At 59.5% G+C, this 14,627-nt stretch overlaps 1 protein-coding gene and 1 long non-coding RNA gene across 34 annotated transcripts in view, besides 3 other annotated features; one reads left to right on the top strand and one right to left on the bottom strand.

The window, feature by feature from the left end:
- Nucleotides 1–14,627, bottom strand: part of PRKCZ (protein kinase C zeta) — a 136,892-nt gene that overhangs the window by 1,278 nt on the left and 120,987 nt on the right. For 10 of the 33 annotated variants that reach the window (XM_047425255.1, NM_002744.6, XM_047425262.1 and 7 more), the window contains 6 exons: nucleotides 14,514–14,600; nucleotides 11,928–12,063; nucleotides 11,730–11,817; nucleotides 10,102–10,221; nucleotides 9,285–9,364; nucleotides 8,805–8,894 (listed from right to left, as the gene is read on the bottom strand). In XM_047425255.1, the coding sequence (XP_047281211.1) occupies nucleotides 8,805–8,894; nucleotides 9,285–9,364; nucleotides 10,102–10,221; nucleotides 11,730–11,817; nucleotides 11,928–12,063; nucleotides 14,514–14,600 (601 nt within the window). Of the gene's footprint in view, nucleotides 1–2,203; nucleotides 3,805–8,804; nucleotides 8,895–9,284; nucleotides 9,365–10,101; nucleotides 10,222–11,729; nucleotides 11,818–11,927; nucleotides 12,064–14,513; nucleotides 14,625–14,627 lie in introns of those variants that run through there. The other 23 variants (XM_047425260.1, XM_017001792.2, XM_024448391.2 and 20 more) reach the window with 7 other exon arrangements.
- Nucleotides 243–2,324, top strand: PRKCZ-AS1 (PRKCZ antisense RNA 1). Its single transcript, NR_146290.1, has 2 exons — nucleotides 243–547; nucleotides 1,377–2,324. It is a non-coding gene; the product is annotated as a PRKCZ antisense RNA 1 (long non-coding RNA).
- Nucleotides 3,291–4,249: an enhancer, noted in NCBI's record as "H3K4me1 hESC enhancer chr1:2111308-2112266 (GRCh37/hg19 assembly coordinates)". NCBI's record gives its function as "activates a minimal SCP1, AML or CMV promoter by ChIP-STARR-seq in primed H9 embryonic stem cells {active_cell/tissue: H9 hESC(primed)}" and the evidence as "EXISTENCE:reporter gene assay evidence [ECO:0000049][PMID:30033119]".
- Nucleotides 7,944–8,552: an enhancer, noted in NCBI's record as "H3K4me1 hESC enhancer chr1:2107005-2107613 (GRCh37/hg19 assembly coordinates)". NCBI's record gives its function as "activates a minimal SCP1, AML or CMV promoter by ChIP-STARR-seq in naive H9 embryonic stem cells {active_cell/tissue: H9 hESC(naive)}" and the evidence as "EXISTENCE:reporter gene assay evidence [ECO:0000049][PMID:30033119]".
- Nucleotides 10,106–10,272: a silencer, noted in NCBI's record as "fragment chr1:2105285-2105451 (GRCh37/hg19 assembly coordinates)". NCBI's record gives its function as "represses an EF-1alpha promoter that drives an FKBP-Casp9 reporter gene in an ReSE screen in HepG2 liver carcinoma cells {active_cell/tissue: HepG2}" and the evidence as "EXISTENCE:reporter gene assay evidence [ECO:0000049][PMID:32094911]".

The following is a 14,627-nucleotide window of genomic DNA, read 5'->3' as shown; positions in this document are numbered from 1 at the left end:
CGACTTCAGAATCTCAGGTGCTGCTTGGCAGGAAAATGCCCAGCAGGCGGGCCTGGGACTCGGTGATGCGCCTGTGCCGGGGAGGGCAGAACGCTGGTGCCTGGCACAGGTGCCACAACACATACGGGTGAGGACACTGAAAACCCCTCAGTTCCCCCGACTCATGGCCACTTGTCCCAGTGACACAGCCATGCTCTCCCACTCACCCACAATAGGGTCTGAATGTGCCCCCCAGATTCACAGTGAGAAACTCATTCCCCAGAGCAACAGTGTAGAGAGGTGGAACCTGATGGGAGCCCCGCCCTCACAGACAAACTCCTGTAGCTGTCAAGACAGCTTGGGCATGGATTCCTCTCTGCCTTCTGCCATGTGGACACGTGGCCTTCCTCCCCTCTCTCCTCCGGGGAATGCAGTGTTTGGGCGCCATCTTGGAAGCAGAGATCAGGCCTCACCAGACACCAAGCCTGCTGGCACCATGACCCTGGACTCCCAACCTCCACAGCTGGGAAAGAACTCTGCTCCCTAGAAATTACCCAGGCTCGCTCAGGTATTCTGTTACAGCAGCACCAAGAGACATTCACTCGCTTACTCCCTCACTCTCTAACCCACTCCCATTCACCCTCTCACTCCCTCTCTAACCCACTCCCATTCACCCTCTCACTCCCTCGCTAACCCACTCCCATTCACTCATTCACTCACTCACTCTCTAGCCCACTTTTTTTTTGAGATGGAGTCTTGCTCTGTTGCCCAGGCTGGAGTGCAGTGGCGCGATCTCGGCTCACTGCAACCTCTGACTCCGATTCAAGCTATTCTCCTGCCTCAGTCTCCTGAGTAGCCGGGACTACAGGCATGCACCACCATGCCCAGCTAATTTTGTTTTTTGTTTTTGTTTTGAGACTCGCTCTGTCTCCCAGGCTGAAGTGCAGTGGCACGATCTCGGCTCACTGCAAGCTCCACCTCCCAGGTTCACACCATTCTCCCGCCTCAGCCTTCTGAGTAGCTGGGAGTACAGGCGCCCGCCACCACGCCTGGCTAATTTTGTTTTTGTATTTTTAGTAGAGGCAGGGTTTCACCATGTTGACCAGGCTGCTCCCGAACTGCTGACCTCAGATCATCTGCCCTCCTCGGCCTCCCAAAGTGCTGGGATTACAGGCGTGAGCCACCGCGCCCGGCCCTCTTTAGCCCACTCATTCACTCACTCCCTCGCTCTCTAACCCACTCCTGCTCACTCACTCATTCACTGGCTCACTCACTCTCTAACCCACTCTCTCTCATTCCCTTGCTCGTTCTCTAGCCCACCCTCGCACACTCATTCACTGGCCCGCCCCTTAGGTGTGTGCTCCTGTACCAACACTGAAATCCAGCTGTCACAACAGGCACCCACTGACTCCAGCCTCATGGAACCACCATTCACCAGGCTTGAGGGGAGGATGTCACGGCGCGCTGCTCCCTTCGGTGCCAGCCAGGATGGGGCCGGGTGGGTGCAGCTGGTGAAAAGAAATGCAGCCCCCCAGCCCCTGCAGACCAAGCCGAACAGCCCAGCTCGCGGGTGGATCACAGGGCACCCAGCAGCCGCCTTCCCTCCGGAAGAGCCAAGAAGGCTTCCAAGACCAGAAATGCCCCCAGTGTGGCTGTGCCTGTCCCCGGTGCCCCGCCAGCTGGGGGGCAGCATACCCAAACAGATGCACCCTGCCCATGATGGCACCCCAGGGACCCCCATCCTCAGGACCCTCCAGTCGTTCAAGCTGGAATTGGCAGGTTTCTGCCTGTATAGGCATCGGCTTCAGAGTCTCAGGTGCTGCTTGGCAGGAAAATGCAGGGCAGGAGGGGCTGGGCCTCAGCTCGAGGCTCCCAGGTGCAGCCCCCCACTCCACTGCAGGGCCCAGGGGGGCCAAGAACAGCCACAACAACAACAAAAGCCAAACTGGGAACGGAATCGTGGAAAAAACCCTCATAGGCTTTTGGGAACTTACAAAGAAATGCCCACATCCATTCTACTAACATGGCATCTACTAACGTGGCATCTACTAGGATGCCACAAAACAGACAAATCCTTCCACGTAAGGCTGGACACGTGTCAGGGCGGTGTCTCAAAGCTGGGCCACAGGCAGCATCCACGGCCAGGCCACTGGGTGGAGGAGACGGTGCTGGGGAGGAGCCGGAGGGAGGGGCCGGGGCTGTTCCCTTAGGCAGAACGGCTCACCTGTGGTGTGCGCACAGCAGGATTGTGGGGACACAAGATGCCCCCTTCATTCATCAGTTACTTGTATTCTTTGTATGAAACACCTGCCGATAAAATGTGAAAAAGGGGCATTTCCTAAAGTACTTTCCCTACCTTAGTCCTGTGCTGCTTTACAAGGGTTTAATAAGCAGCAGGGGTGGGAACAGAGCAGGACCCAGCTGGAGCTGGCCCAGGGTCCTCCAGCCCCTGGCCCAGCCCGTTCTCTGCTCCGAGGGCTCAAGATTGCCTCAGTTTCCCTGACAGCATCCCCAGGGGCCAGCGTTACCTCCTCCTCTTGCTCAAAAGCCTTCAGTGCCCATCTCTGCAGCTGGCACGTGGGCTCCAGGTCGGGACCCATGGTGCCTGACACCTTTTCCCACCGCCGCCCCCTGCGCCCAACCCATGGACGTCCTGGCCTCTCAGAGCAGTGCGTTTGAATGCACGCTGGCCCCAGGTCGGACGCTGTGGCAGTAACAGGTGTTGCCCCTGTGGCTGCAACCACAGCAGTGACCTGAGATACAACAGGGGGCCCGTTCCGTGTCAATGGGGCTGGGGGCCCAAGGGCTCTAGTTCTGAAGGGACATCTGAGAAATAGCCTGGGGGAGGTGAGGGCTGGAGCCTGGGGAGGGCACAGCTGTGCAAAGGCCCCATAGTGGGTGTGTGCCTTGTGCGCTGGGGGCCACAGAGGGGCCCCATGAGACCCGAGTGAAGGGGCTGAGGGGGAGGAGGCTTTTGGACACAGGACGACCCTGCTGTCCGTAGGGCCAGGCAGGATGCTGGTGGCTTGGTGGAGGTGGCGGGGGTGGGGTGGGGAGAAGCAGCAGGGCTGGGGGGCTGGGCTAGGCCCCGCATGGCAGAGCATGGTCAGGCACAGAATGGACGAGCCCCACGTGCTGGGCAGGGCCTGGAGGCGTCCAAGGGGACAGCACGCCAGGGTCCACTTTGGCCATACTAGCCGGCCACATGGAAACATCCTGGAGCCAGTTCTTGGCAATGATGAGAGGAGGTCCCTGAGACCACCCTGCACTGTTGGGGTGATGACGGTGAGCCCTGCCACCGGATGCAGGGCTGGGCCCAGGAGGTAGTGCCCTGGGGGCAGCATGGGACTCCCAGGCTCCTGGTGCCCAAACCACAGGAAACGCCCAGAGAGCCCTGGGGTGGCAGCACAGCAGCGGTCATCTGAGCATCCCAGTCATCTGTGCGTTTGAGTCATCTGTGGATCTGAGTCGTCCGTGCATCCATGTCATCTGGGTGTCCGTGCATCTGAGTCGTCTGGGGATCTGAGTCATCCGTGCGTCCACGTCGTCCGTGCGTCCAGGTCATCTGTGCGTCCACGTCGTCCATGCATCCACGTCGTCCGTGCGTCCACGTCATCTGTGCGTCCACGTCATCTGTGCGTCCGCGTCGTCTGTGCGTCCGCGTCGTCTGGGTGTCCGTGCATCTGAGTCATCTGTGGATGAGTCATCCGTGTGTCTACGTCGTCCGTGCATCCACATCGTCTGTGCGTCCATGTCGTCTGTGCGTCCACATCGTCTGGGTGTCCACGTCGTCCGGGCGTCTGTGCATCTGAGTTGTCTGTGCATCTGCAGTCAGTCCCCATGCATTTTCATAAACAGGTTGGCCTTAAAGCCCCACCGAGGATCCACCCACTCAAGGCTCCAGCTAGAGGCCCCACGCCTGCCCTGTGCCACGCAGCATGGGGTGGACAGAGGGGTTCGCGGGTGGCCAGGCCAGGGCACTGCTGCCTTCTACACACTCCAGGCTTGAGAATTTTACGGCCACACAGGTTGGCCCTGGGTAGTGGAGCTGGCACCAGCCCAGCTGTGGGGCTTGTCCCTCTCCATGAGGTCACAGCTGTGATCCCCACTTCTGACGGCCTCCACTGCTCCACGTCTCCCATAACCGCCTCCCTCCTGCTCCCACCCGCTGCCCAGACCCAGCCATCTCTCTGTGGGCCTCTTGTCACCTGCCCTCCTCTGCGTCTTTCCGTTTTCCCCTCCCTGCCGCCGGCTCCTTGCGCAGCACACAACGTGGCTGGGTTCCTCCCACCGAGCTCCCAGGAACGTGCCTGTCGCACGTGGGAAAGTCCTGAGGCTCCCACCACACGAAGCATTAGAGTCCTTGCTCCTCCCTGGGGCCTCCCACCAGCAGCCCTGGGCCCGGGGTGGGAGGAGCAAACCACTCCTGGCCCTGAGGCAGAATCTCCCCAGCAACATGGGCAGCAAATGACTCTCAAGAGAATCGGCTGTCACCACGCAAACGTTTCCATCCAGGGGGAGATGAGTTAGCGCAGCACCGCCCGGCCATGTGGGACACGTGGGGTTGGGCAGCAGGTGGTGGCTCAGCTGTTAACTCACCACCACCTTTCACATCAGTGGGGAGCTGGGACCATGCTGGGAAATCCATCGCTTCAAATCTCAGACTCCTGATAGTCACTAGCACAGATCACGTGATCCACAAATACTCAGGCTTTGCAGTGTGCCAAGTACCGGGGATCCTGCGGGGATGGGGACCCTCTTAGAGTGGCAGCCCCAGCCACCAGGCCAGGACGTGCTGTCTGGACCCAGTTCCTTCAGAATGAGCCTGTCCATCACTCAAAGCTCACCCGGGACAGGCCCAGCAACTTCCCCACGGCCTTTGCTCCCACAGCCAAACCGGAGGACTCAGGATTAGGAGCCTGAGGATGTGCCTGGACCGGCGGAGGGTGGGGTCTAGACACGGCCCATGGGAGCCCCCGACAAGATGAGCGCCACCTCCCAGTGCAGGGGCAAGGCAGGTGGATCTGCCTGGCTGACGGGGCCCTCTGCACACACACTGCCTCTCTTCTCCAGGGCAGTGTGCAGAGGCCAGGCTCCAGGAGGAAAGCAGTGTTGGGGACCCGGTGCCGGGCCCCAGAGTCACACCCCAGTGGCGGCGACTGCCTGAGTGGTGCTGGTTCAGCTGGGGATAGGCAAGGAGGGGGCGGCTTTGGGGTGACTGTGACCCTGTCCCAGCTCTACCCTCGGACACTCGGGGGGCGGGCACTGTGTCCTTTCACCATCCATTCCTGCTGCTCCCACTGCCTTCCCCGCAGTCCGTGAAAGAGACCCTGAGTCCACAGGTGGGGACCAAGGCCTCACACGTGCCCCACTCCCACATGGAGCTGACACCCACCGAGGGACTGTTCTCAAGCTGTGCCCACTACAGCCATGGAACTAAGTCCAGCACAGACTGAGGGGGCCCCCAAAGGGACCAGAAAGCAGCCGCTGCAGGAACAGGTGGCCCCCCTGAAAGGCTAGACTGAGACCACCGGACCTGCAACTGCGCCCTGAGCACGTGCCCAAGAGAAATAAACACGTGTCCACCCAGAAGCGGGTTCACAGGTGCTCACAGCAGCACGAGTCCACCCAGAAGCGGGTTCACAGGTGTTCACGGCAGCACAATTCACAATGGCCAGAAAGTGGAGGCCACCCTATGTCCACTGAGGACGGATGCAGAGGTGCAGTCTCCACGCAGTGGACGCAGTGGGTGGGGTTCAGCGCAGGAAGGAGGCAGTGCCACGTGCTACTGTGTGGGTGCAGCTTGTGGAGACAATGCTGAGGGGAGGGCAGGCACGAAAGGCCGCGGTGTGCCCAGGTCCACTTCCATGACATGTGCAGACCAGGCAGAGCCACACAGCCTGGCGGAGCAGCCACTGCAGGGTGTGGGGAGAGGCTGGAGTGGGTTCGGGTCTTCTCTGGGTACAGGGTGATGAAAGTGATCGCGATGACGTCATGTAACTCTGGGATTGCTCAGAACCACTGAGTTGCAGGCGTTGGGTGAATGGGAGGAGGACCTTCCTTCTGCCAAGGTCACATGGGGGTGGTGGTGACCCCACACCAACCCTGCTGAGGACAGCTAAAGCAATCTGGCCAAAACAGCCACACTTCTTCCTAAAAGCCTCAAGAGCTGATGGGTGGCAAGGAAACGGCAGAGGCAGGGTCGGCGGTCGGTGGCAGAGGCAGGGCCGGCGGTCGGTGGCAGAGGCAGGGCTGGCAGTCGGTGGCAAGCCCTTCGCAGGCCTCTCAGGCTGGGATGGAAGTCACAACACAGCCCGCAGCAGCCAGGAAGAAGCAGGGTGATGGAAGCCGCCCCTGTGGGCAGCCACGGGGGTGATTCTGCAGTGGTGGGACCCAGGTGGGAAGCCAGGGCCGCTGACTACCTTCCGAGAGACAGCCCGCGGCAAGTGTGTGCCAGAGATCACCTGGCGTGCTCGCTGCAGGGACGCAGACCTCTCCCAGCTAGAGGCCAAGGGTGGCTTCATGGTCTCCTTGAGTTCCGGCTCGGGCAGGGTTGGACTCACACTCAGATTAGACAGTGCTCCGAAGAGAAGGAGCCCGTCACTCCACAGGCAGCCATCTGTCCTCATCTGTCCACTCCCGGTAAACCAAGAGTGGTTGAGAGACAAGATCAGGGGCCCGGCTGGCACCAAGGCTGCACCCAGGATCGGGCTCTCCCTGGATCCCATGGTGCTGGTGGGCCCCATACGGTGGTGGGCTTGGAAGAGAGAGGGTGGGAAAGGCACGGGGGAGACTGAGCTGAGACGGGCGAGGGGAGGTGGCTGGGAGCGGGGATGCTGGCTCCTCACGTAATTCTACTAAGCACCTGCTACGGGTTCAGCCGGGTGGTACCTGGACCTGAGTGTGTGTGTGGACCGGAGGGGTTCTGTGGGCCAGAGACAAGGGGATGCCACCACTAACACCAGCTAGGCCAGGTGTGGCCTGAGATAGGGGAACGCCACCAGTAACCCCACTAGGCCAGGGGTGCCTGAGCCAGAGAAAAGGGACGCCACCTCTAACCCCGGCCTGGGCGTGAGGATGACTGACAGTTAGAACCAAAGGCAGATCTCTTCTCCCTTATGCTACCAGAGGCATAAATTTAAATGAAGAATTTGCGAAGGTGATTCCGTGGCAGGTGCCTATGCTCAGAACATTTCTAAGTGTGTGCATCTGACAACCGCACGACAGAGAATGGCCCCGTCCTAGTTTGGCAGCAGCCCAGCTGGGCTCTGGAAGGGCTGTATGTAGGAAGGGGTGTGGGCACGTTCTGACCACTTCACTCCCCACCTTCCCCCACGGTCCCACACATGCACAGGCAAAGCAAGGCCTTCGACTAGAAAGTGACTTGTTGGGCTGTGTGGACAAGGGCCCCCACTGACCACAGGGGCCAGGGAGTGACCTCCCACGCTGGCCGAGGCTGCCTGGAAAAGTTGGGTGGGGTGGAGGACAGAGCTAGAGCTGGGCTTTCTCCTGATTCAGTTCAACCTCCTCCAAAATGCACTGAACGAGCTATCCAATCTGCTTTTTTCCTTGAGAGTGTATTTTAAAGGTTTTATTTCAGTAGCTCTGCAACCATTTACACAGCTGGAAACAAATTCCACAGACGCTCCTCAGCTTCAGACAAGGTCACCTCCCAATAAACCCTCCATGTGCTGGAAACATCCTAGGTGGAGACTGCGCTTCCCACACAGAACCCACGACCGAGCGGCGCTGGAAACATCCTGGGTGGAGACTGCACTTCCACACAGAACCCACGACCAAGCGGCGCAGCCTTACCTGCCTTAACCTGACAGACACACGCCAGCCTACAGTCCGGCAAAACCCCCTGCACGCAGAGCCCCTCGGGACATTCGGCCCCCTCCTGATCACGTGGCCCGCTGGGGCTGCAGTCACCGCCCCTCATCACAGGAGAGTACTGACCTCATACGGCCAGCTGGGGAACGGTCAAAACTCAAAGTAGTTTCTACCGAATGCACCCTGCTCACACACCACCGAAATCAGATTCCTAAATCGAGCCAGTGTACGTCGCACCCTGTCCACAGACTCACTCTCCTTCAATACCCGACGCTAAAGCTCAAGCCGTGAACGCTGCGACTGCTGGTCCTGTCCAGTAACTGCTGATAAAACCGGCCATGAAACCAAAGCAAACGCCCTTCTCTAGGCCGGCCCCCACTATCAGATCCCTGTGGAACCAACAGCCAATGTGCTCACAGGTCAGGACGCATGTGCCGCTAGCTCCTGGCGGCACCAAGCCAGCACAGTCGAGGGTTGCCAGGAAGCGCCATGGGCCGAGCTCGTCCGGCCCCTCACTCTCCTGGCTCCGGAGGACGAAATGTGTCTCCCCATCCCTCCTCGGGGCCCTGGAGGGTGGTCCCCCATTCCCAGCTGACCCTTCTGGGAGACAGGAGCCTTGGCTCCACGCAAGTGGGGCCATGTCAAAGACCAGCCCGGCGGTGCGCGAGCTCACACAGCCCACCCGGCCCACACAGCCCCGGCTCTGTCCACCAGATTATAGGGGTTGGAGGGGTTGGGGGTGTAGGGGTTGGAGTGGGGTTGGGTGGATATTGGGGTGGGGGTTGAGTTGGGGGTTGGGGTGGGAGTTGGGCTGGGGGTTGGGTTGGTGGTGGGGTGAGGGTTGGATGAATTTGGGGTTGGGATGGATATTGGGGTTCGGATGGGGTGGGGTGGGGGTTGGGTGAATATTGGGGTTGGGGTTGGGATGGGGGTTGGGTAGATTTGGGGTTGGGATGGGGATGGGGGTGCAAATAGGCTTTGTGATGCTTTACCAAGTCCCAGTCTATGCTGCGGAAGAACGCGTGGGACTTGATGTCAGAAAATCCAGTCTGTGGCCGGCAGCCGAGCCTCTCTTTGGGGTCCTGGAGGTCAGAGTTCAAACAAGGACAAGTCAGCCCCATCCCGGAAGCCCCATGACCCCCTCTCCTTGGTGGCCACTCCCAGTGCTGACAAGCCCTCCCCCGATGCTCTGACCCAGGTGGTGGAAATCAGATGTTTCCTTTATTGAAAGTTCCTTCCCCGTACGTTAAGCTCCGTTCCATTTTCCTTGGGCACACATTCTCATTTTGTTAGGTGTGAGTAAAAACGGACGATTCACAGAACACAGAGCTCAAATACTGAAGCGGAAAATCAACCCACACACCCGATACACAGCAGCCGACATGAAAAAATGGCCAACAGCCGTGCCTGGCCCTCTGCCCACCAACACCGAGGCCACAAACGAGATTTTGTCAGCATGGCCAGAAACGTACCTTATTTAAAAATCCTTTTAAAACATGGGAGGCTTTGACGGACAGGAACCGGGGGATCCGGATGGGCTTCTCCAGGATCACTGCAAGGGCGGAGCCTGGTGAGGACTTGCCTGTGTTGTGTGCCATTTGCCCAGTGCCGCCCAGACTCTGACTCTGAGCAAGAGCTTTGGGAGCTCAGCCTTGGGGCCCCGGAGCCCCTCCCTTCCTACAGCCCAGCAATATCTATAACCCGGAGTCCCGCCGGGTCCTCCCTGGGCCTCCTGGTTACATGCGCTGGCACGTGTCGTAGGATCGGACGTGAACCAGCAGCTCCCCTTCCTCAGCCCCAAGATCGCAGGTACACGGGTGCCTCTGCAGGCTGGCCACCAGAGGGCACCGCGGAGACAGCCGCGTTCCCAGATCCCACATCCCCACAGCACTGAATTCCAGACCAGGAGCAGGTCCCGGGGCCTCCAGGTGGGAAGGAGCCCATGATGGTGGCTGTGGGTTTTGGGGGTGGGGGCTGTGCTTTCAGCTCGGTACAGCCTCGGTCAAGGACATGCTGGGGCTCCAGCATGTGCTGCTGGCCAGGGCAGGAGGGAGTTGGAGCTGAATGGGGACAGGTTCTCTTTCCTGCTGACCCACAGGTGTGGTAACCCCACCCCACGGCCCGGGGAGTGGCATGTGACACAGGGTCTGGCCAGGAGGAATGGTTCCCGGTACGCTTTGCATGGCACTGCCGCTCCAGGCACCCGCGGGACCCCTCCACCTGCACCTTTGAAAAGGAAGGAAGACAGTCGTGCAGGTGAGGGGTACGAACGCACAGCGGGGCACGCACCTTGGAAAAGGTAGTCCTCTGTGTTCATGTCCGGGTTGTCGGTGATGATGTCGAACGGGGAGCGCCCGGCCATCATCTCAAACATGAGGACTCCCAGCGCCCACCAGTCCACGCTGAACCCTGGGGGAGAGCACACAGCCATCACCGAGTGGGGCCACATGGGCCGGCAGCAGGACGAACCTGGCTGGCGTTGGTTTTCATGCCCAGTTGACACGAGTGTGAGCCAGGCTTGAGCAGGCGGCACACAGGCCTCTGTGACTTCCACTTCCCAAACAGAACCAGCACCTCCACCTGGCAGCTCGGCCTCCCTGCCACCGTCCCTGACACTACGGAGGTCTCCCAGGCTGCCTCTGGGCTGTCGGTCCTGCCAGGGCACCTGTGACCACACCGGCACGAGGCACTGGTGGAACCTGCGGACGACCCTCCTCTCTCGTTTCTGCTTCTACAGAACTAAGCTTGAAGAAGCCCTTTCGCTGCAGTAACGGAAATACTCTCCTGTGTTTCCTTCTACAGCCATTTTGTTTTTTAAAAAGGTTCAAGTAGTCAACCTGTTGGGAATGTGTTCCAGCGAATGAGGGGTGGGAGACCCTGACCCGTTTTGCCCAAGGACAGCAGCTGTCTCTGCGTCCCCGGAAGTCCCCCTGGTCCCTGCTGAGGTGAGACGCTGCCGCTGTCCCACACGGAATCCCCATCCCAAGCTGGGTTCTAGACTATATTCCAGTCCTCCAATCTGCTGTCTGTCCTTCTCTGGCTACTGAGACTTCCATTGTGGCCGCTGGGGAGCCCAGTTATCCCAGCGGCGAGTGACCTGCCCGCCCTGCCTGCCCCACACCCATTCTGATGGCAAAAAAAATGTGTAAAAATGTCTGAAGGCACACCATGCATGCCTCATTGAAAACACCAGGATGCAGAAGTGGGTGGAGTGTGTACAAACACAGTATGCATGTGCACACAACACACATGGATGCCCGACACACGAACACTCAGCCCAACGGCACACACGCACACAGGGCTGCACACGCGTGCCCACGTCCCCGTTTCACACACGCACACACGGCTGCACACGCGTGCCCACATCCCCGTTTCACACACGCACACACGGCTGCACACGCGTGCCCACGTCCCCGTTTCACACACGCACACACGGCTGCACACGCGTGCCCATGTCCCCGTTTCACGCCCAGAGAGGGGAGAGGAGCAGAAACACTCTGGTGTGCACGGCGTCCTCAGCCGCAGGGCCTGTGGGGTCCTGTCCACACGCTCCTGCACCCCCTGGGGCTCCCCAGACAACAGCTTCTCCCCCAGCCACTCGTGCAGCACGGGGACTCAGGTGCTGCACCCTGTCCCACCCCCGCTTTCTGTGTCTTTCCCCTCCCTGTGCCCCGGGGCTCCCTGGCAGGAGGAATCCTGTGCAGTGCCCTCCCCAAGGAGCTGCTCAAGTGGACATGGGAGGTTTTCCAGAATTCAAATAAGGGGCTGAGGCCAGATGATGACATCCGGCTGGGAAAGACAGTGTGTGGCTTTTGGGTGTAAGATGGTCAAGGACACCTCTCCCTGGCTGCTGGGCCAGGCCCGAAGCCATCTCTGGCCCTGTGTGCTCCGAGAGGGGCCAGGGCAGCGGCACTCACCGTACTCCTCTCCCCGCAGGATTTCGGGGGCGATGTAATTCGGGGTTCCGCAGAAAGTGCTCGTTGTGTCACCAGGGCCCAGGCCTTCCTGTGGGGGCAAAGTTACTGGGAGAGGGTTCTTGTAGACACTACCCCGCGGGACAGGCGCCCCGAGACGCACATGCGGGATGGTCAGGGGAGGCGGTCCAAGGCACGCACCTTGCACATGCCGTAGTCTGTGAGCTTGATGTGCCCGTCCGCATCCAGGAGGACGTTGTCCAGCTTCAGGTCCCTGTAGATGATCCCCCTCTCGTGCAGGAAGTTGAGGGCGATGCAGATCTCGGCCGCGTAGAACCTGGGGGTGGGGATGCCGTCATGGGGGCAGTGCCTGTGCCAGAGGCTGCGCCAACAGCTCCAGCCTGGGGGCCACACACTCCCGTTTGCCCCACCACGGGCCCGGCATCCTCTCAATGACCAGGCCCAGGATTTGAAAGTGCAGTGCACAGGGCCAGGGAGGGAAATGCCAATGAAAGCTCCAGGACACCACCCCATGCGCCTTAGGATGGCCTGCTGTCAAAGACACAGAGAACGATGTGGCAGCCTCCACAAGGGGAGGAGCGGGCAAATAACACGACAGCTTCCATGCGGGAAAGACCGGAGCCATGGCACGTTGTGGTAGGAGTGCAGAACAGCGCCGCTGCTGCGGAAGACAGTCCGGCAGGTCCTCGAAAATTAAACACGGTGCCAGGCTTGGTGGCTCACACCTGTAATCCCAGCACTTCGGGAGGTCGAGGCAGGCAGATCACCTGAGGTCAGGAATTCAAGACCAGCCTGGGCAACATGGCGAAACTCCGTCTCTACTAAAAATACAAAAAAATTAGCCGGGTATGGTGGCGCACACCTGTAGTCCCAGCTACTCTGGGGGCTGAGGCAGGAGAATCACTTGAACCTGGGAGGCAGAGGCTGCAGTGAGCTGAGATCCCACCACTGCATTCCAGCCTGGGTGACAGAGCGAGACTCCATCAAAAAAAAAAAAAAATTAAATATGACCTTTTTTTTTTTTTTTTTGAGACAGAGTTTCACTCTGTCACCCAGGCTGGAGTGCAATGGCGCGATCTTGGCTCACTGTAAGCTCTGCCCACAGGTTCACGCCATTCTCCTGCCTCAGCCTCCCGAGTAGCTAGGACTACAGGCGCCCGCCACCACACCTGGATAATTTTTTGTATTTTTAGTAGAGACAGGGTTTCACTGTGTTATTTCACCGTGTTAGCCAGGATGGTCTCGATCTCCTGACCTCGTGATCCGCCCGCCTTGGCCTCTCAAAGTGCTGGGATTACAGGCGTGAGCCACCACGCCCGGCCTAAATATGGAATTCTTATGTGGTTAGCAATTCAGTTTCTGGGTGTATACCCCAAAGAACCGGAAGCAGGGTGTTCAAGAGATTACTTCACACCCATGTTCACAGCAGCACTGTTCACCATGGCCAACATGTGGATGCCACTCAAGTGCCCCCCGAGGGATGGACGGATAAGCAAAGTGTGGCCCCTCCATCCAACGGGGCATTATCCAGCCTGAAAAAGGAAGGCAATTCTGAGACAGGCCACAGCACGGATGAATCTTGAGGACGCTATGCTCAGGAAAATGAGCCACCGAAGGACCAACACTGTGATTCCACTCCGATGAGGTCCCTAGAGTCCTCGAATCAGAGGGACAGAAAGTGGGACGTGCCCGTCTGGGGTGAGGATGTGAGGCTGGGGCGGGGGACAGGGAGGGAGTGTCTGATGGGCCAAGCTTCAGCAGGGAAGAGGGGCGTGCTCTGGAGATGAGACGGGGGCCAGCAGTGGCTGCAAAGCATGGGGTGCATTCAACGCCACTGAATTCCATGCCCCAAAATGCTACCTTTTATGTTGTGTGTTGCCACAGTTTTTAAAAACAGCGTTGTGGGAAGTGTACTGTTCTAGATTTATTGCCTACTGTCCTATTGCCAGAAACAATCTAAGGTGACTCACAAAACTGCATGCAACGTTCTTAAGTAAGGAAATGAGGAAAAGGAGAAACTACAAAAGACAGGAAAGGTCCAGGGAGCTGAAATAAGCCCCCAAACGGTCCTGGAGGTCCCGCGGCTGCCGGGGGAGGCTCCTGAACCATGCTGGAGGCCCCTCGGCTGCCAGGGGAGGCCCGAAGATATCAGAGATGAAAGGGAAGGGCAGGAAGGAGTCTCTCAGGTCACTCTAGAAACAGACCACTCTCGTTCTGCTCCTAACGCTGAGGAAATGCTGGCCATGCTGTGCCACTAACAGGGTGAAGAGCAGAACCAGGGCAGAGCCACCATGAAGACAGCACAATCCCAGGAGACTCTCACTTCTCTCGGATGAGGCATGGTGCTGCTTCAGGGGTGGGGCCTGGGGGACTGGTCTGAGGCACCATAACTCAGGAGACCTCCCAAATGTTGTGACTCTGGAGCAAATATGGAATGTGTCACAATGCAGGGGACGTCACACTGTGGGGGACATGATGCCCTCTGCCATCCTACCTGGACTTCCCTCCCTTGAGCTCCCTGCTGACCCCTGGAGAAGGTCCCCGGCCCCCTCCACGTGCACCCCGCCCCCCCCGCCCCCGTCATACCCCCTCCGTGCACACCCCACCCAGCCACCTCCCCTCTGCGCACACCCACCCGGCCCCCCAACTCCGCGCGCACCCACCCGTCATCCCTCTGTGCGCACCCACCCAGCCCCCCAACACCGCACGCACCCACCCATCCCCAACTCCGGGCGCACCCACCCGGCCCCGTCCACGCGCACCCACCTGGCGTGCTCCTCAGGGAGCTTCCTCTGCCTCTGCATGTGGAACATCAGGTCCCCGCCGTTGACGTACTCAATGACCAGGAACAACCTGCAGGGAGAGAGGCGCCGGAGGCTG

Source organism: Homo sapiens, chromosome 1, assembly GCF_000001405.40.
Source record: "Homo sapiens chromosome 1, GRCh38.p14 Primary Assembly".
NCBI classification, from domain to species: Eukaryota; Metazoa; Chordata; class Mammalia; order Primates; family Hominidae; genus Homo; species Homo sapiens.
Note: the sequence above shows the minus strand (reverse complement) of the source record. Positions and strands in the feature narration are given on the sequence as shown.